General features: G+C 46.6%; 1 non-coding gene and 2 pseudogenes across 1 annotated transcript; 1 reads left to right on the plus strand and 2 right to left on the minus strand.

Moving 5' to 3' along the window:
- Window positions 8457-10778, minus strand: NICN2P (nicolin 2, pseudogene; annotated as a pseudogene).
- On the plus strand, window positions 15443-15546 carry LOC124905277 (small nucleolar RNA U13). The gene has a single exon (XR_007068440.1). It is a non-coding gene; the product is annotated as a small nucleolar RNA U13 (small nucleolar RNA).
- On the minus strand, window positions 17127-17379 carry RN7SL785P (RNA, 7SL, cytoplasmic 785, pseudogene; annotated as a pseudogene).

Raw genomic sequence — 22153 nt, forward strand, 5'->3', positions numbered from 1 at the left:
AGACAGAGTTAAGCTCTTGTCACCCAGGCCTGAGTGCAGTGGTGCGATCTTGGTTCACTGCAACCTCTGCCTCCTGGGTTCAAGCAATTCTCCTGCCTCAGCCTCTCAAGTAGCTGGGATTACAGGCGCCCGCCACCATGCCCAGCTAATTTTTGTATTTTTAGTAGAGATGGAGTTTCACCGTGTTGGCCAGGCTGGTCTGGAACTCCTGACCTCAACTGATCCGCCTGCCTCAGCCTCCCAAAGTGCTGGGATTACAGGCGTGAGCTATCCCGGCCGCCATCTTTAATTTCTTATTGGACTGCTGTGATGTTTCTCATTTCTCTCCCTTCTAAGCATTCCATCTGCTCCCTTCCCCCACTTTTCCTCCAACAGTCTCCTGAGTAGGATTTATGGAAAATATGTTTGCGTCTTTCTAAGTTAGAATTTTATGAGTATTCCCAAGAAATCAGGAGTTATGTGTCTATTTTGGAAGCACAATTTTAAAAACTACAGCATTCACTTAACACTTTCACTGAAAGTATAGCTTCAAAAAGTGATATTTGCACTCTTAAAACATTTAGATGAGTGAATTAGACATAAAGGAACAATTCACATCCCAGAGCTCCGTAATGTCCTGAAAAAGGTGCTTTATATGTCATAGACATCATTCTCAAATGTCACCGAGTCTTTCCTTGGTCTGAAGGTCGCATTTCCCTGGTGTCTCTTCCATGCCGTCTTGCTCTCAGGTAAAGGAGCATACTTGGGTTCCGGTCAGAGCCCTCCTCCTAACCTCCATTTCTGGCCTTGATCTCATTCTCTACAGCTGTAAAAGTAATAAATTGAATGATCCTATGAACAGAGAGCTCCTGTAGCTCTGAGTTTTCATGGTTCCAAGAGCACAAATGAAATCACAGCATAACCTAAATTTTATAGGAACGTGACACTCACTTGACTGTATCTAGCCTGTGTGTGTGTTTTAGTATTCTGGGAAGACAAGAATTGCAGTGAATGTGCTTCCAAGCAACGATAAACAATAAAACTGGGCGCAATATGGCTGACCATCTCTATGGCAACCTCTGTTGACCCTGTGTATGCATGTTTTACTCATTTTGGTGAATCACATTTTAAAATATAAATGATCTTATGTTGATGATCATGATTTTGTGACCATCAATTATTTGTGGCTGTGATAATTCCGCTATTGTTTCTGCTCTGGAATCAGAAAAGCTGTGGAGGAGGTTGGGGGAGGACACACCGGGAGAGAGATGACTCATTTTAACCTTTTCTGGAACAAACAAGTGATTACTTCAGAAAAAGATGACTTCAGTATGTACTTCCTCCCACCACCCCCATGAGCTGTTCATGGTGATGTAGACATGCCTGTCTGCGTTGACCCTGTCCTTTAAGCACTGCCATCAGGCTGGGGCTTCTGTTCTTTTGTTTTTGAGACAGGGTCTCACTCTGTCACGCAGGCTGGAGGACAGGGGCACAATCACAGCTCACTGCAGCCTTCATCTCCCAGGCTTAAAGGATCCTCCCACCTCAGCATCCTGAGTAGCTGTGACTACAAGCATGCACCACCTTGCCCAGCCAATTTTTAAATTTTTTGTAGAGATATGGTCTCACTACTTTGCGCGGGCTGGTCTTGAACCCCTGGGCTCAAACAATCTTCCACCTCCACCTCCCAAAGTGCTAGGGTTACAGGCTTGAGCCACTGTGCCCGGCCAGCTTCCGTTTTTTTCTTTCTTTCCTTCTTTCTTTTTTTTTTTTTTTTTTTTTGAGACAGAGTCTCTCTCTGTTGCCAGGGCCGGAGTGCAGTGGTGCAATCTCGGCTAACTACAACCCCCGCCTCCCGGGTTCAAGCAATTCTCCTGCCTCAGCCTCCTGAGTAGCTGGGACTACAGGTGCCCTGCCACCATGCCAGGATAATTTTGTTTTTTGTTTTTGTTTTGGGTTTTTTTTTTTTTTTTGAGATAGAGTCTTGCTCTGTCACCCAGGCTGGAGTACAGTGGCACAATCTTGGCTCACTGCAACCTCGCCTCTCGGGTTCAAGAGATTCTTCTGCCTCAACCTCCCGAGTAGCTGGGAATACAGGAACCCGCCACCATGCCAGGCTAATTTTTGTATTTTTAGTAAAGACAGGGTTTCATCATGTTGGCTAGGCTGGTCTTGAACTCCTGACCTCAGGTGATCTGTCCACCTTGGCCTCCCAAAGTGCTGGGATTACAGGCATGAGCCACTGCACCCAGCCAATTTTTGTATTTTTAATAGAGGCAGGGTTTCACCACATTGGCCAGGCTAGTCTCAAACTCCTGACGACAGGTGATCCACCCCTCTCAGCTTCCCAAAGTGCTGGGATTATAGATGTGAGCCACCACACCCAGCTCAGCTTCTTTATTTAAATGAGTCTGGAGGAAATTTTTTGGTGAGACACTGGGTTGTACTATGCTCGTTGGGGACAACTCTTTGAGGGCCTCAATTGCTAACATCTCATGATGGGAGTTTAAGAACTGCTAAGAAGCATCTTCATCAGCCCCATTAAACCAGATGGCCATGCAAAGTCTAACATGACAAATCTGAGGCTTCCTGGGGTCACAGCTAGGACACTGAATTATAGATTCAGACCCTGGCTGGGTGTTGTGGCTCACAAATGTAATACTAATGACTTGGGAGGCCAAGGTGGGAGGTTTGCTTGAGGCCGGAAGTTCAAGACCAGCCTGGGCAACATAGTGAGACCCTGTCTCTACAAAAAATTAAAAAACTAGCCAGGCATGGTTACATGCACCTGTAGTTCCAGCTACTTGGGAGGCTGACGTGGGAGAATTACTGCCTGAGCCCAAGAAGTTGAGGCTGCAGTAGGCCAAGTTTGCACCACTGCACTCCAGCCTGGGTGACAGAGCTGTCTCCATGGCCTGGCACTGGTTTTCATCCTGGTATTAGAAATGCATCAGTGCTCCCTGGGGAAGGGGCCAGTTTCACCAGCTCCTGCCCCATGAGCTGTGAAAATGCACATTCTAAGAAGGAGCCAGGCAGGGCCTGAGTCCCTCTGTGACCCATGGGCCATGATAAAGGTGTTGGAACAATCGTGCCAATATGGCCACAGGAAGCACGATTGTTCTCTCCTTGCGCATTGCAAGGGCTGGAGGTTGAAGGTGTGACCTGTGCTGTTGTCCCAGGAGCCGGGGCTTTCTCAGAAGCCCTTTTCTTGTGATGCCCAAACAACCACGCAGAAAATGCTAATTGATTACTCACCAAAACGACTGTGAAAAAATGATGCTTTGAGCTTCAAAGCCCCATCACAGCTTTTATCTAACCAAGAAACCCTAGGCCAAGCTTGTGCACAAGCTGGGCCACATGTGGCCCAGGACGGCTTTGAATGAGGCCCAACACAAATTCCTACACTTCCTTAAAACATTACAAGATGCTTTTGCCATTTATTTTTTAGCTCATCAGCTATCATTAGTGTTAGCGTATTTTATGTGTGGCCCAAGACAATTCTTCTTCTTCCAGTGTGGCCCAGAGAGGCCAAAAGATTGGAAACCCTGCCTGGGCTTTTCCGATTTAGCCCTCCCACATTTCCCAGAGCAGGACAGTCCCTCACACCAGTCTCAAAGGCCAGCAGGGCTTTTCCTCACAGACTGAGAGCTATGGTCGCTAAAGTGATCAGAAGTGATGATAACATAATCAAGACTCTTCCTTAGGGCTTGAGGGTTCCAGCAAACATCTCTGCCATCTGTCTGCCTGCTTTTTCTGTCACTTCTGAAATTCTGGTATCATGCCCGTGGTCAAAGCAACTAACTTCTGTGGCTACTAGAACTTTCTTCCTGCTTTTCTCACTCTGCACTTCCTGCTGCTGTCAATGAAACTCAGCTTCTTATTCCCAGGCACTCTCAGAGTGAGGATCCATAGGAGGCTTTGATTCTCAGGACAGATAACCCCATCTTTCCTCTGGTTCTGACCTATTTTTCTGTGTCCTTGTTACTGTGGTCATACCCAGAGAAGTAACATTTTGTCTTGAATTTGTAAAAATCTCTACCTTTCCCCACAAAGGGATTTCAGCACAGTGGCTATTTTAACAGATACCGTGCAGCACGTACCACACGTTCCCTTCCTGAGTCCTTGAAAGTAATTTTCAGCTTTTGATCGGCTATATTGTTCTTCCCAGCTACATTTTGGGAAGTCCAGCAGAATAACTTGCTACTCTTTTAAAGGTCCTAATGATAAAACGAAACAAAACATCCCCTTTTTATCATCACCCACAAAGCCCTAATGCGTGCAACAAAGATTGTGAAACGTCCAGGGAACAGTTTGTGAGACAGAAAGGATGGCTTTGTTGATTAGCAAAAAGCTGGAACGTGGACACCGGCAACACAACAGGATTGGGACCCGCCTTCTTCAAGTGAAACAAAGTTGGAATTATTTTCAATTTTAATGTTAAATGGTTTTTTTGTTTGTTTCCAAATTATTTGAAAAGTTACTAATCCAAGCGTGGTATGAGTGGTATCATTTTGGTAATTAGATTAATGCACTACCAGATCCTAGAATTTCCCACTTTACCAAATAAAAGAATGTTCTGTGGAATTCTCCTAGACCAAGACAGGCTTTTCCCCTGAGCAATAGTGATAAAGTTGTCTAAATACATGAACTGGTGGCATTTTTCAAAAAGTAATAATGTTATAATCAAGAGGTGGTGTTGCTATGTTGCCCAGGCTGGTCTTGAACTCCCAGTCTCAAGTGATCTGCCAGCCTTGGCCTCCCAAAGTGCTGGGATTACAGGCATGAGCCACCGTGCCTGATGGTGGCATTTTGTCTTCTTCACAGAAAAAGTTAAAAGATGAGTTGGATGACATTGTGAATTGTGAACAACATAGTGAGATCCCGTCCCTTAAAAAAAAAAAACAAAAATTAGCCACGTGTGGTGGTGTACCCCTGTAGTCCCAGCTACTCAGGAGGCTGAGATGGGAGGATCATCTGAGTCTGGGAGGCCAAGGCTACAGAGAGCTGAGATTGCATTGCTGCGCTCAAGCCTGGGTGACAGAGTGAGACCCTGTCTCAAAAACAAAACAAAACACTGCCTATTTTATTTATTTATTTATTTTGTAGAGATTAAGGGGGGGGTCTCACTATGCTGTCCAGGCCGATCTCAAATTCCTGATGTCAAGTGATTCTCCTGCCTTGGCCTCCCAAAATGCTGGGATTACAGGGGTCTTTAAATGCTGGGGATTGGCATCTTTAAAATGAACACACTGTTTTAGTTTAAGAGACTAAAGAGGTGCATGTGTATGGAATAAATGAGCCTGGACTGAATCTTGTCTTTTAAAAAAGTTATAAAAGATGTATGGGACAACTGGGGAAAATTAAACATGGACTGGATATTAAGTGATATTAGGGAATTATTGCTAATTGTCTTAGGTGTGTAAACGTAACATGATAATGTAAGAGAATGTACTTACTTTTAGGAGATGCATGCTGAAGAATTTAGAATTGAAGGAGATTGCTGTCTGCAACTTACTTTCAAATGGCTGGAGGCCGAGCACAGTGGCTCATGCCTGTAATCCCAGCACTTTGGGAGGCCCAGGCAGCGAATCACCTGAGGTCAGGACTTAGACACCAGCCTGGCCAACATGGCGAAATCCTGTCTCTACTAAAAATATAAAAAATTAGCTGGGCATTGTGGTGGGCACCTGTAATCCCAGCTACTCGTGAGACTGAGGCAGGAGAATTGCTTGAACCCGGGAGGCAGAGGTTGCAGTAAGCTGAGATTGCACCACTGCACTCCAGCCTGGGCAACAAGAGCGAGACTCAGTCTCAAAAAATAAAAATAAAAATAAAAATAAAAAATAAATAAATAAATGCAACCTTGCAGGAAAAAGTACAGAAAAGACTGTAAGTCATGTACAGACACATGACTGAAATTAAACTACATAAACATTTCCTTATATCTGTACAGAGGCAGTTTCACGTAGTAATTAAGATTCTGGAGCTGGCTGGGCGTGGTGGCTCACGCCTGTAATCCCAGCACTTTGGGAGGCCGAGACGGGCGGATCACAAGGTCAGGAGATCGAGACCATACTGGCTAACACGGTGAAACTCCGTCTCTACCAAAAATACAAAAAAAGAAATTAGCCGGGCATAGTGGCGGGTGCCTGTAGTCCCAGCTACTCGGGAGGCTGAGGCAGGAGGATGGCGTGAACCCGGGAGGCGGAGCTTGCAGTGAGCCAAGATTGCGCCACTGCACTCCAGCCTGGGTGACAGAACGAGACTCCATCTCAATAAAAAGAAAAAAAAAAAAAGATCCTGGAGCCAGACTGCCAGGGTTCAAAGTCAAGCTCTGTCACAACTAGCCGACTGTGTGGCCTTGGGCACGTTATTTTTCTTTGCTGGACCTCACATGACCCCAGTGCTCAGTCTGGAAATTTTTGCCTGATGACATTTTAATAATTATTAAATCTAGATGGTGGACATATGAACATTTATTGTACTAGTCTCCGTACAAAACCTTTTTTTTTTTTTTGAGATGGAGTCTTGCTCTGTCGCCCAGGCTGGAGTGCAGAGGCACTATCTGGGCTCACTGCAAGCTCCACCTCCCGGGTTCACGCCATTCTCCTGCCTCAGCCTCCCGAGTAACTGGGACTACAGGTGCCCACCACCACGCCCGGCTAATTTTTTTTTTTGTATTTTTAGTAGAGACGGGGTTTCACCGTGTTAGCCAGGATGGTCTCGATCTCCTGACCTCATGATCCACCCACCTCAGCCTCCCAGAGTGCTGGGATTACAGGAGTGAGCCACCGTGCCCAGCCATGTGCAAAACCTTAAGTAAGCTGGGCTCAGTGGCTCACGCCTGTAATCCCAACACTTTGGGAGGCTGAGGTGGGTGGATCATGAGGCCAGGAGTTCGAGACCAGCCTGACCAACATAGTGAAACCCCCATCTCTACTAAAGATATAAAAATTAGCCGAGTGTGGTTGCAGGGGCCTGTTATCCCAGCTACTCTGGAGGCAGGAAATTGCTTGAACCCGGGAGGCAGAGGTTGCAGTGAGCTGAGATTGCACTCTGGCCTGGGCGAAAGAGTGAAACTACCTCTCAAAAAAAAAAAAAAAAAAAAAAAAAGTGTGCAGATAACCTTGGTTAGTGTTTTAGAATATATTACTTTAAAACAATCCCAAACTTACAGAAAAGTCACAGGTATAGTACACATAACTTTTCTCTCTGAACCACTTAAAGTTAAGGTGCTTAGTCACATACTTTGGTTGAAAAAAATAATTGTTAACCTGATGCCTGATCATCCCTGAATGCTGTAGTGTGTATTTCCTACAAATGAGAACGTTGGCCAGGCGCAGTGGCTCATGCCTGTAATCCCAGCACTTTGGTAGGCGGAGGCCGGTGGGTCACCTGAGGTTAGGAGTTCAAGACCAGCCTGACCAAACATGGTGAAACCCCATCTCTACTAAAAATACAAAAATTAGCCAGATGTGGTGGCGGGCGCCTACAGTCCCAGATACTCAGGGGGCTGAGGCAGGATAATCACTTGAACCTGGGAGGCAGAAGTTGCAGTGAGCCGAGATCACACCACTGCACTCCAGGGTGGGTGACAGAGGGAGACTCTGTCTCAAAAAAAAAAAAAAAAAAGAACATTCTCATATAACCAAAATATAGCCATCAAAATGTAATATGTTATTACCATCTAATCTCAAACCCCATTTAAGTTTTATCAGTTGTCTCAATAAGGTCCTTTCTAGTCAGGCATGGTGGCTCGCGTCTGTAATTCTAGCACGTTAGGAAGTTGAGGTGGGCAGATTGCTTGAGCCCAGGAGTTCCAGACCAGCTAGGGCAACATAGGGAGATCCTGTCTCCACAAAAAATACAAAAACCATCTGAGCCTGTTGGTTCGAGCCTGCAGTCACAGCTACTCAGGAAGCTGAGGTGGGAGGATCCTTTGAACCCAGGAGGTCAAGGCTGCAGTGAGCTGTGATTGCGCCACTGCACTCCAGCCTGGGCAACCGAGGGAGAACCTGTCTCAAAAAAAAAAAAAAAAAAAAAAAAAGGAAGAAGTCCAGGCCCGGTGGCTCGTGCCTGTAATCCCAGCAGTTTGGGAGGCTGAAGCCGGTGGATCACCTGAGGTCAGGGATTCGAGACCAGCCTAGGCAAAATGGTGAAACCCCGTCTCTACTAAAAATACAAAAATTAGCTGGGTGTGGTGGTGCACCCCTGTAATCCCAGCTACTGAGGCATGCGAATCACCTGAACCCAGGAGGCGGAGGCTGCAGAGAGCCGAGATTGCGCCACTGCACTTCCAGCCTGGGCAACAGAGTGAGACTGTCTCAAAAAAAAAAAAAAAAAAGAAATTCTGGACTTTCATGACCTTGATACTTTTGAAGGTTAGAAGCCTGTTATTTTGTAGCCTGTCCCTCAGTTTGGGTTTGTCTGATGTTTCCTTCTGGCTAGGTCAGGTTCTGCATCTTCTTCTTTTTTTTTGCATTCCACAAGTATTTACTGATCTTGCTGCATACCAGGCCCTGGGCTGGGGACACAGCCACGAATGAAGCATGGTCCCTGCCACCACAAGGTCCTCTTCACTCACACACACACTGAGGACTACTGTTCCATCACCCTTTCAGAAGCAGCTGAATGGGGCTATGTAAGAACTCATGGATGAGAGCAGAGGGTGACCACCAAAAGGTCACTGAACTCCCCCAAGAAAACTGTTGAGTCGCACACATGTCCAGTTTTCCAGGTCCAAGACATACAACAGTACTGCTTTATAATAGCCACCAGGGGTGAAGCCAGGAAGAACCAGAGGGAAACAGGGTTTTCTCACATGAAGGAAGAGCAGCCTGCATCACTTAATGGTTGGCCTGAGTTAATGGAGGACCTAGGCCTCTTAAAAGGCACCAATGAGAACCCTTACTTGGACCCATTCCCCACCATGGTTGATCTCTCATCATGCTGAGCATGTCTCTTGGAAAGGGGCAACTGGGAGAAAGGATAGGAATGTGCTTTGGGCTATGTCAGATGGCAGACAGATCCCAGTTCTTATTCTCAGGCCCTGGCTTTGCTAGAGACACCTGCCGAGGCCCTATGGGCACACCCATTTGGACATATATTCAGGAGCCAGCTCAGAAACTGAGAGACTCAGGCTGCCCAAATCTTCAGCTTTGCTTCCTAGGCAGGCAGCAGAAGAGTTTAGACAGGAAATTTTCTTTTTATGGCATAACACAAAGGGAAAGAAAGTCACTAGGGGACACACAGGAAGAAATAAGGTTTCTGTTTCTTCCTCAAGTATCCCAAGTGCCATGGCAGCAATGGCCTTCTGGGTCCATACATGGAGCACGTTCTAGTAGGTCAGCCCAGCCCAACTGCACTGAGGTGAAGGAGCAGGCAGAAGACAGGAGAGTGCATGTTGGCAGGAGGGGCAGAGGGCACTCAGGGATTCTTAGTAAGTACAACTGACTGGAGTGTTTTTGGGTAGAAGGAAGAACTGAGTTGCAGCCAGGTGAAGACAGAGTGCCCCCTTGCCAGGAGCTCATGCTGAAGCAACACAGTCAGCCCCGGAGAATCTTGAATCTGTGAATGCTGCCCAGACAGAACAGGCATGCAGGCAACACTTGGAATGCACAGAAAACACATTTCGGCCTCTGGTGGCCCAAACCAAGTCTGAGTGGGCACAGAAAGGCCAACATCTTGGCTAGGAGCCACCACTCAAGTGTAGGAGAGTAAGTTCAGGTCATAACAGCCATCTACATCAAAGTGGCCTATCCTCGCGGAGGTGTGACTGGCCCGGATCATCTCTGTCAGTGCCCACATCTGCTGCACCTCAGAGGATACCCTGCTGGGGTCTGGGAGACCCTCATGGAGGAGTGCAGGTTGCTCACAGGGCACTGGGTGGGAGAGCCACTTGGGGAAGATCATGGAGGGGCTCTTTGGTCCCTGCTGATAGATCTGCAGCTCCTCCACTGTGAAAGACAGCCACAGTGGTGATGGCTGCTGCAGAATCAGGTGTAGCTCCGATATTCTGGCCATGTCACACAGTATCTGTTGCTTGAACAGCGACACATACTCCTGGGCTCCCTCCTCACTGTGTGGGTTGGGCATCAGACAGTAGTCCCACAGGCAGGTCACCCACTTGGCCGGTGTGTGTGCTGAGGTGTGCTGACAGACAGGATGCTCAAAAAAGCTGTGTAGTAATTCTTTTTATTTTTTTTTGAGATGGAGTTTCGCTCTTTTTGCCCAGGTTGGAGTGCAATGGTGCGATCTCGGCTCACTGCAACCTCCACCTCCCGGCTTCAAGCAATTCTCCTGCCTCAGCCTCCCAAGTAGCTGGGATTACAGGCATGCACCACCACCCCGGCTAATTTTGTATTTTTAGTAGAGACGGGGTTTCTCCATGTTGGTCAGGCTGATCTTGAACTCCCACCATCACACCTGGCTAATTTTTGTGTTTTTAGTAGAGACAAGGTTTCACCATGTTGGCCAGGCTGGTCTCAAACTTTTGACCTCTGGTGATCCACCTGCCTCGGTCTCCCAGAGTGCTGAGATTACAGGCGTGAGCCACCATGCCCGGCCGCTGTGTAATAATTCTTAAATGTGATCCCCTCGAACGGAGTGACACAGGGGAAGGTGACATCAATGACCAGCACACTAGGCCGGCCTTGGGAGGTCCATACGTCCCCCACCTGCAGGGCTACGGTGCCTTTCACATGGCAAGGCACCAAAACGCGGGACATGGTGCTAGCAGCCGCGATTAAGTGCAATAGCTGCTCCAGGCCCCGACCTCCAGCCCTTCCTGCCATCCTCAGGTTCTCATCTTGGATAGGAAGATCATAGAGGTGATGCTGTGTCCTCATTTCAGCCTATGAGGTGGCACAGGATTTGAATACTGATGATATTCACTTTGATTCCTTCGTTAAGATGGTATTTGCCATGTTTCTGTACTTTAAAGTTATTATTTTCCTATTTCAGTTCGGAGTGGGGAGGTACTTTGAGGCTATGTCAATATCCCATTCCTCATCAAACTTTCCATTTATTCATTAATTTATTTATGGCAGTATGGACTCACGGTTTTCTAATTTATTCAATAGGTTATATAATTCATTCCTTTCATTATTTATTTTGATTCTTTTTTCTTTTTCTTTTTCTTTTCTTTTTTTTTTTGAGACGGAGTTTTGCTTTTGTTGCCCAGGCTGGAGTGCAATGGCACGATCTCGGCTCACCGCAACCTCTGCCTCCCGGTTTCAAGCAATTCTCCTGCCTCAGCCTCGTGAGTAGCTGGGATTACAGGCATGTGTCACCATGTCCTGCTAATTTTGTATTTGTAGTAGAGATGGGGTTTCTCCATGTTGGTCAGGCTGGTCTCAAACTCCTGACCTCGGGTGATTCACCCACCTCGGCCTCCCAAAGTGCTGGGATTACAGGCGTGAGCTACCATGCCCGGCCTATTTTGATTTTTAACTTTTTGTTTTAAAATAAGTATAGATTCACATGCAGTGGTAACAAAAATTATAAGGGAGGACCCATGCACTCCACTCAATTCCCCAAATGGTAACATCTGGCATAAATTTAGTACCATGTCAAAACCAGGATATTAACGTTGGTGCAATCCAGAGTGTATTCAGATTTCACCAGTTTTGTGTGCACTTATGTGTGTGAGTTTAATTCCATTCAGTTATTTCACGTGTAACCACTACCACATTCAACAGAGAAGGCTTCCATCCCCACAAAGCTCTCTTGTGCTACCCCTTTATAAACGGAACAGACACCTACCTTCTCCACCACCCTAATCCCTCGCAGCACCTAATCTCTATTTTCTTATTTCAGGGTTATTGTATAAAAGAAATCATACAATACTCAGTTTTTTCAGATTGGCTTTTTCACTCAGCATAATCCCGTGGAAATCCATCCAAATCGTTGCATGTATCAAGGGTTTGCTCCTTTGTATTGCTGAGCACTGTTCCATAGTATGGACATATCACAGAGATAAACATTCATCCCTAATGTTGAAAAGGCATTTGGGCTGTTTCACTTTGTGGCTATTACAAATAAAGCTGCTATGAACATTCATGTACAGGGTTGTATTTTTTGTGATCCTCCCACCTCAGCCTCTAGAGTAGTTGGGACCACAAGCGCAGAACGCAACGCCTCGCCTCGTCCCACCCCAAGCCGCCCCGCCTCGCCTTGCCTCGCCTCATTCTTTTTTTAGATGGAGTCTTGCTCTGTTGCCCAGGCTGGAGTGCAGTGGTGCGATCTCAGCTTACTGCAACCTCTCCCGGGTTCAAGTGATTCTCCTGCCTCAGCCTCCCAAGTAGCTGGGATTACACGCACCCACCACCATGCCCAGCTGTTTTTGTATTTTAGTAGCGATGGGGTTTCACCATGTTGGCCAGGCTAGTCTTGAACTCCTGACCTCAGGTGATCCACCTGCCTCGGCCTCCCAAAGTGCTGGGATTACAGGCATGAGCCACTGTGCCCGGCCTTTTTTTTTTTTTTTTTAATAGAGACAGAGTCTTTCCATATTGCCCAGGCTGGTCTTGAACTCCTAGGACCAAGCGATCCTCCTGCCTCCCAAACTGCTGGGATTATAAGCGTGAGCCAGCGCACATGGCCCATAGAATATATTTTCTCTTTTTTTTTTCTTTTTTTGAAACGGAGTCTCGCTCTGTTGCCCAGGCTGGAGTGCTGTGGCATGATCTCGGCTCACTGCAGCCTCCGCCTCCCGGCTTCAAGTGATTCTCCTGCCTCAGCCTCCTGAGTAGCTGGGATTGCAGGCGCCTGCCACTGCGCCTGGATAATTTTTGTATTTTTAGTGGAGAAGGGGTTTCACCATGTTGGCCAGGCAGGTCTTGAACTCCTGACCTTGTGATCCACCCACCTCGATCTCCCAAAGTGCTGGGATTATAGGCATGAGCCATCATGCCTGGCCATCAAAGCCATCCTTTCTGTCTCACAAACTGTTCTCTGGCCATTTCACAATCTTTGTTGCACGCATTAGGGCTTTGTGGGTGATGATATAAAGGGGATGTTTTGTTTCATTTTATCATTAGAACCTTTAAAAGAGTAGCAAGTTATTCTGCTGGACTTCCCAAAAATGTAGCTGGGAAGAAAAATATAACCAATCAAAAGCTGAAAATTACTTTCGAGGACTCAGGAAGGGAATGTGTGGTACGTGCTGCATGGTATCTGTTAAAATAGCCACTGTGCTGAAATCCCTTTGTGGGGAAAGGTGGAGATTTTTGCAAATGCAAGACAAAATGTTACTTCTCTGGGTATGACCACAGTAACAAGGACACAGAAAAATAGGTCAGAACCAAAGGAAAGATGGGGTTATCTGTCCTGAGAATCAAAGCCTCCTATGGATCCTCACTCTGAGAGTGCCTGGGAATAAGAAGCTGAGTTTCATCGACAGCAGCAGGAAATGCAGAGTGAGAAAAGCAGGAAGAAGGCAGGGCACAGTTGCTCACGCCTATAATCCCAGCATTTTGGGAGGCCGAGGCAGGCAGACCACCTGAGGTCAGGAGTTCGAGACCAGCCTGGCCAACATGGTGAAACCCTGTTTCTACTAAAAATACAAAACATTAGCCAGGGATGGTGGCACGTGCCTGTAGTCCCAGCTACTTGGGAGACTGAGGCAGGAGAATCGCTTGAACCCAGGAGGCGGAGGTTGCAGCGAGCAGAGATCCGCGCCATTGCACTCCAGTCTGGGCGACAGAGCAAGACACCGTCTCAAAAAAAAAGGAAGAAGAAAGTTCTAGTAGCCACAGAAGTTAGTTGCTTTGACCATGGGCATGATACCAGAATTTCAAAAGTGACAGAAAAAGCAGGCAGACAGATGGCAGAGGTGTTTGCTGGAACCCTCAAGCCCTGCACTCCAGCCTGGGTGACAGAGTGAGATTATGTCTCAAAAAAAAAAAAAAAAAAGAATGGCTTTGTTGATTAGCAAAAAGCTGGAATGTGGACACTGGCAACACAACAGGATTGGGACCCTCTCTTTTTTTTATTTTTGAGATGGAGTCTTGCTCTGTCGTCCAGACTGGAGTGCCGTGGCGTGATCTCAGCTCATTGCAACCTCCACCTCCTGGGTTCAAGTGATTCTCTTGCCTTAGCCTCCCGAGTAGCTGGGATTACAGACGCCTGGCTGTAATCCACATCGCCTGGCTAATTTTTGTATTTTTAGTAGACACAAGGTTTCACTATGCTGGCCAGGCTGGTCTCGAACACCTGAGCTCAAGTGATCCACCTGCCTCGACCTCCCAAAGTGCTGGAATTACAGGTGTGAGCCACCGTGGTGGTCATAAATAACTTTTTTTTGAGACAGGCTCTCTATCTCCTAGGCTGGAGTGTAGTAACGCGATCATGGCTCACTGCAGCCTCAACCTCCTGGGCTCAAGCAATTCTCCTGCCCCAGCCTCTCAAGTAGGACTACAGGTGCACCCCACCATGCCTGGCTGATTTTTGTATTTTTTGTCGAGACGGGGTTTCACCATGTTGGCCAGGCTGGTCTCGAGCTCCTGGGCTCGAGCCATCCTCTTGCCTTGGCCTCCCAAAGTGCTAGGATTACAGGTGTGAGCCACTGCCCCTGGCTGGATTGCTTCATTTTAAACACTATAAAATAAATATCTCACCCTCACCGGTAAATACACATATCTCCCCCTACTCCGTTTTTAACACTACAGGGCAACATTCTGAATTGAAATGTTCCATAATATTCATTTTTGTCACTCACCTGTAATAGTGTAGACACTGGCCGGGCGCGGTGGCTCATGCCTGTAATCCAGCACTTTGGGAGGCCAGGGCAGGCAGATCACCTGAGGTCAGGAGTTCGAGACCAGTCTGACCAACATGGGGAAACCCCGTCTCTACTAAAATACAAAATTAGCTGGGCGTGGTGGCGCGTGCCTGTAATCCCAGCTACTCAGAAGGCTGAGGCATCCCTCAGAATTGCTTGAACCCAGGAGGCAGAAGTTGCAGTGAGCTGAGATCGTGCCATTGCACTCCAGCCTGGGCAACAAGAGCGAAACTCCGTCGCAAAAATAAAATAAAATAAAATAAAATAAAATAAAATAAAATAAAATAAAATAAAATAAAATAAAATAAAAAGAAAAGTAAAGTGTAGACACTAGATTGTAGTTGTAGAATTACATCATAATGGAAATATGTTCAGGCTGAGTCCTTCCTTTGGCATGTTTGCATTGTGTGAACAGTGGAATGAATCAATTTCTGTTACCATTACCATATGTTTTTCTCATCCCGTATGGTTTTCTCAGTACATAGCATCGTGTAAGCTACTCTAACACTGGAGTTCAGAGAACTGGTTTGAGTTCCAGCTTGCTAACCAGGTGGTGCTCAAAACACAGCCATGGCCACAAAAGCCCATTCTCTGAAGTTGGTGTGTGATGTATAAATTCATAGCCTAATTCTCCTTTTGACTTCTCCTCAATACACTGTTTCATAAAGATGGTAGCTGCCCACCCTTTTGTGGTTCATAAGTATGGTGGTTCGGTTTTCATGCTTATGTGTGAGACATGCCTCTCTCCAACCTTGTTACAGCACAGGCACATTACCCATCTGACATGAGGGGAAAAAAGGTTATGGTTCTAAATGCCATTTTTGGAAAAGAAAAAGAAATCCGGCCAGGAGCAGTAGCCCATGCCTGTAATTCCAGCACTTTGGGAGGCCAAGGTGGGCAGATCACTTGAGGTCAGGAGTTTGAGACCAACCTGGTCAACATGGCGAAATCCTGTCTCTACAAAAAAAACCAAAAAACAAAAATTAGCCATGCATGGTGGTGGGCACCTATAGTCCCAGTTACTCGGAACTCTGAGGTGGGAGGATCGCTTGAACCTGGGAGGCGGAGGTTGCTGTGGGCTGAGATCGTGCCGCTGCACTCCAGCCTGAGTGACAGAGTGGAACCCTGTCTCAAAAAACAAAACAAAACAAAACAAAACAGAAAAGAAAAGAAATCCAAAGACTGTGATACTTTCTTCATAATTCCCAAGTTTTAACATGGAGGGTATATATTAAAATATATTTGTATTTCATATTATATATGTTATATATGACACACACATAAAGCATATGCACATGACAAGAGATAGGCCAGGGTAGCGTAGACTTCAGTACTTCAGATACAACCATCACTTTTGCCATATCCACGTACCAAATGAACATTATTTACTTAACATGTTTCTTTAAATTGGTGCACATTTTATTTATTATTTATTTATTTATTTTTATTTATTTGTATTTTTGAGATGGAGTCTCATTCTGTCGTCCAGGCTGGAGCGCAGTGGCGTGATCTTGGCTCACTGCAACCTCTGCCTCCCGGGTTCAAGCGATTCTCCTGCCTCAGCCTCCTGAGTAGCTGGGACTACAGGTGGGTGCCACCATGCCCAGCTAATTTTTTGTATTTTTAGTAGAGACGGGGTTTCACCATGTTAGCCAGGATGATCTCGATCTCCTGACCTCGTGATCTGCCCGCCTCGGTCTCCCAAAGTGCTGGAATTACAAGTGTGAGCCATCGCGCCTGGCCTATTTATTTTTGAGACAGGATCTTACTCTGTCGCCTAGGCTGGAGTGCAGTGGCGTGATCTCAGCTTACTGCAACCTCCACCTCCCAGGTTCAAGTGATTCTCCTGCCTCAGTCCCCTGAGTAGCTGGATTACAGGTGCCCACCACTGCGCCCAGCTAATTTTTGTATTTTTAGTAGAGACGGGGTTTCACCATGTTGGCCAGGCTGGTCTCGAACTCCTGACCTCAGGTGATCCACTGGCCTCGGCCTCTCAGAGTGCTGGGATTACAGGTGTGAGCCATCACTCCTGGCCCACATTTTAAAACATAAGTAAAACTGCATTTATTTATCTCTGATGGAACTAATGGGCACAGCAGGAAACAGACGGTACCTTCCCCAGTTTCCTTCAGCCTCCATGGTGTATATCTTTTTTTTTTTTTTTTTTTTTTTTTTTTTTTTTTTTTTAAAAGGCAGGAGCCAGGCAAGGTAGCTTACACCTGTAATTCCAACATTTTGGGAGGCTGAGATAGGAGGATGACTTGAGGACCGGAGTTTGAGACCAGCCTGCACAATTTAGTGAGTCCCCTGTCTCTACAAGGAAGGTATGGTGGCTCTCACCTGCAGTCTCAGCTACTTGGGAGGCTGAGGTGGGAGGATCACTTGAGCCCAGGAGTTCGAGCCTGCAGTGAGCTATGATTGCATCACTGCACTCCAGCCTGGACCAGAGATTGAGACCTTGTCTCTTAAAAAGAGAGAGAGAGTCTCACTGTCATCCAGGCTGGAGTGCAGTGGTGCAATCATAGCTCACTGAAGCCTGAAACTCCTGGGCTCAAGGAATCCTCCTGCCTCAGCCTCCTGGGTAGCTGGGATTACAGGCATGAGCCACCGTGCCTGGCCTAGTACATCTTTTGACAACAGAGGAGCAGATTTCAGGCCCAGAGCTTCTACCAAACAGTAGTATTCAGCTGAAATTCAGTAACTTTTGTTTTTGTAGTGCTGACCCCAGTATAGAAAGGAAAAAAACAAACAAAAACAAACAAACAAACAAAAAACCCAATAACTTGGAAAAATGTTTTGTGATTACACAAACATTCTCTTTTAAGGACACAAATTATGAAATAAAGTTAATTTTCTTTAAAAAGATATAAGTTAACATGTTAAACATCAACATGTTGCTATCACTTTAATTTAATCAAAGTGATTCAGTTACTGTAAGGATATTTTCTAACAGCCACATTGCAACTTAGAAAAGAAATAAAAAAGCCAGGTAGAGAAGGCAGATCTTTCTAGTATTTTGCTTCTTATTCGAATATTGAGACTATGTTTGTTATGTAACTCACTATAAGTAGTGCAAAAAGTGTGATTAATGTGTATAATCAAAAACTGCAAATAAAATAAACTTTTGGTTATCTTGTTAATATCCCTCTACAAACCCAGATAGACATCTGAATATGCAACATGCAAGGGTGGGGTGATGGCCTCAGAACAGAGATCAGGAGTGAGAGGGTGGCCAGCCATAGAGGCGAAATCATTACAAACACTGGCACAGTGGCGCGCAGGCAAGTGATGCCCTTCACGTGTGAGTACCGAGAGAAAGACTATCACTTGCACGCTAGTATTGCACCCCCGAAACTACCAGTGCTATAGACTAGCATTTGCCACATTCCCAGAGCACCCCAGATAGTCACATTTTTAGGGCATATGTTTTCTTTTTGTTGTGTTTTTTTGTTTGCTTGTTTGTTTTGAGACAGTCTGGCTCTGTTGCTCAGGCTGGAGTGCAGTGGTGTGATCTCGGCTCACTGCAACCTCCACTTCCCAGGTTCAAGTGATTTTCCTGCCTCCGCCTCTGGAGTAGCTGGGACTACAGGCACGCGCCAACATGTAGGGCATACACTTTCTATAAGAGTGAAAAATTTCATCTGTTGGTCTGCTTCAAGATTTTGCTTAATGCAACAATATGCTTTAACTTTTCTTTCTTCCCTTCCCTTCCCTTTTCTTTCCTTCCTTCCTTCCTTCCTCCTTCCTTTCTCCCTTCCATCCTTCTTCCTTTCTCCCTCCCCTCCCCTCCCCTCCCCTTCCCTTCCCTTCCCTGTCTGTCTCTTTCTTTCTTTTTGAGACAGAGGCTTGCTCTGTTGCCCAGGCTGGAGTGCAGTGATGTGATCTCGTCTCACTGCAGCCTCAACCTCCCTGGCTTAAGTGATCTTCCCAGCTCAGCCTCCCAAGTTGCTAAGACCACAGGCACGTGCCACCACACCCAGCTAATTTTTTTTTTTTTTTGTACTTTTCGTAGAGACAGGCTTTCACTATGTTGTCCAGGCTGGTCTCGAACTCCTGGCCTCAAGCGATCTGCCCACCTCGGTCTCCCAAAGTGTTGAGATTACAGGCTGTCCTAACTTTTCAAAGGGGAAGAGAATTGCAAACTAAAGACTAAGAGCATATTCTTTGTTGTAGGTGTACGTGTTTGTTCACAGCCCCTTACACAGCTTGTGTAAGGAGACCAATTTTTGATGGAAGAAAGGGAAACTGTCAGTCTCAACTGCACAAGTGAGATATTGGATAAGTTACTTTACAGTTTGGTGTTTCTGTTTCCTGACCTGTATGACAGACACAAGACTATGGACCCATTTGGTTTAGTTTGGTTTTGGGCTTAACTGATCTCCAAATACCCTTTTTTACTGTGAAATGTTTGTGATCTGCAATCTTAGGTTACACTGATGCAGTAATTTCTTTGCACTGCAGTTTTTTTCTAGTAAGAGTACAGTTATGGTTTCTTGTCTTCCTTTTTAGAATATCTTAAGTAACGCCCCACATCCAAGCTCCCAGTGGGTTTCCAGTCCTAATATGGTGCAGGGTTCCTTAGTGCTCACGGGTATTGATATATTAGGGCAATGTGACCCAGGAAGCTGCTGCGGGAAATTGTAAAGTAAGGTGACATTAGAAAGATATTTCATCAAAATGCCGAAGTGTGCGAGAGCATATCCTCCCTCACATTTCTGCACATTTGTGTCAAGTGGTCAAACAGTTCCTAAGCAACGGTGCGGAGGCGGTTGCTAGGCTGGCTTGTCACGTGTCCACGGATTCAGCCGCTAAAGAAATGGTGAGCCCAACTGCATTCAGACAGTTTATTGCTTAAAGAGACAGTAAGACCATCATGGTGTCAGCTCCAACATCCTTAGTCCCACAGGATGACACTGAACCAGAGGGGCCAGGTGACATTGAAGGGCCAACTCAAAAACGACCACAAGCAGTTTTGTAATAGACTTACACAGAAGCCTGCAGCTGGAAATTAAGTCTGGGCAAGGTAGAAAGCCCGATACCACACCAGAGCCAGGGAGGCCGATGAGAAACTGCCTCACGGTGGCTCCTCACCAGGCTTCTTGTCTTGCCCACTTCCTGGAAAAAAATCACAGGACGTTCTGCCAAGACTCAAGTCAGACTTCAGGTAAGCCTTTGCCTTCGCCCACGTGGAGATGTGCAAGGTCTCCATGGCATCATGGCAGACCTGGTCCCTACAACTGCACTGCCTGGCCTTTTGTGTAACCAGCTAAGAATTTGTTTTCAAGAAGCACAGGCCAGGTCAGGTGCGGTGGCTCACACCTGTAATCCCAGCACTTTGAGAGGCTGAGGTGGGTAGATCACCTGAGCTCAGCAGTTCGAGACCAGCCTGGCCAACATGGTGAAACTCCATCTCTACTAAAAATACAAAAAATTATCCAGGCATGGTGGCGGACGCCTGTAATCCCAGCTACTTGGGAGGCTGAGGCAGGAGAATTTCTTGAACCCAGGAGGCAGAAGTTGCAGTGAGCCGAAATCGAGCCACGGCACTCCAGCCTGGGCAACAAGAACATAACTCCGTCTCAAAACACACACACACACACACACACACACACACACACACCCCAAAAATACAAAAATCAGCAGGCATGGTGGCACACACCTGTAGTCCCAGCTACTCGGGTGGCTGAGGCAGGAGAATCACTTGAACCCAGGAGGCGGAGGTTGCAGTGAGCCGAGATGGTGCGACTGCACTCCAGCCTGGACGACAGAGCAAGACTCTGACTAAAAAAAAAAAAAAAACACAGGCCACCCTATCAGATGCCCCAATTAATTGTACTGTGACAGTGGCATGGATGAAATCCTTTCTATTGGCGTTAAGTGACATCAGATGAGAATAACTGTGGCTATGATCAAGTAGAATGATCAGACCCACCTGGAGAACAGACCACAGTCAGGCTCCTGGTCAAAGCCAAGCCAGCTAAGTCGGTCATTAATCCAGGTGCAGCAAGAGGTGTCGGCAACTGCACACAGCCAGCCCTGGCCACCAGCAGGAAATCCAGGGCAATATGACTGCTCCTCACCATTCATGTTGGAGAGCTTAGTCTGGTCTGTGTGTGCAAGCAAGTGTAGGCCTGATGTCCTTGTAAGACGAGGTCCCCTCTTGGGGCATGAACTGTAGCTAGAGTTTAAGACCCTGGATTTTTTTTGTTTTTTTTTTGAGGGTGGGGACGGGTGGTGGGGTGGAGTCTCACTCTGTCGCCCAGGCTGGAGTGTAGTCGTGCAATCTCGGCTCACTGCAGCCTCTGTCTCCTGGGTTCCAGTGATTCTCCTGCCTCCGCCTCCCAAATAGCTGCAATTACAGGCACCCACCACCAGGCCCAGCTAATTTTTTTTTTTTTTTGAGACGGAGTTTTGCTCTTGTTGCCCAGGCTGGAGTGCAATGGTGCAATCTCGGCTCACTGCAACCTCCGCCTCCTGGGTTCAAGTGATTCTCCTGCCTCAGACTCCCGAGTAGCTAGGATTACAGGCATCCGCCACCATGCCCAGCTAATTTTTTGTATTTTTAGTAGAGACGGGGTTTCACCATGTTGACCAGGCTGGTCGAGAACTCTTGACCTCAGGTGATCCATGCACCTCGGCCTCCCAAAGTGCTGGGATTACAGGCATGAGCCATTGCGCCCAGCCCATTTTTGTATTTTTAGTAGAGATGGGTTTTCGCCATGTTGGCCAGGCTGGTCTTGAAATCCTTACCTCAAGTGATCTACCCTTCTCGGCCTCCCAAAGTGCTGGGATTACAGGCATGAGCCACCTCGCCAGGGCTTCTTTTTTTTTTTTTTTTTGAGACAGGGTCTTGGTCTGTCACCCAGGCTGGAGTGCAGTGGTATGATAGCTCACTGCAGCCTCTGTAAGAATTAAAGAAAGAGGAGAGAAACATGAAGGGTGGCTTGACAGTCAACAGATTTATTTTAAACCTGGGAGGGACTTCTGACCCTTCTGAGTTACGTCAGAAGCCGCACTCTCTTACAGACTAAGAATTTTTAAGGATTTAGGGTGGGAGAGTTTATCAGAGGCTTGGACTGCTTCTGTGTCTCTTTGTTGTGCTTATCTGGGAGGGAGAGTTTTGTGTCTGTTCCAATACATCTTCCTGCAGTTGCAGGCATCCCGAGTCTGCCTTTAGCTTCCCTATCTTAGTGCACCTGAAGGGAAAGGAATGTGCTTATTAAGGCCCACTGTTTCACTGGGGCCCCTTGTATGAAGGTGAAGTTTGGCAGTTACCCAAGAGACTTTCTCCCTGCCTTCCTCTGTGCCTGAGCTGTCTTATCTGTGTTTTATTGTCTGTTCTTTTCTGGCTGCTTGTAGTTAGAAGAGAAGTGATTTCCTTGAAATGCGTGA

Source organism: Homo sapiens, chromosome X (genome assembly GCF_000001405.40).
Source record: "Homo sapiens chromosome X, GRCh38.p14 Primary Assembly".
Taxonomy (NCBI): Eukaryota; Metazoa; Chordata; class Mammalia; order Primates; family Hominidae; genus Homo; species Homo sapiens.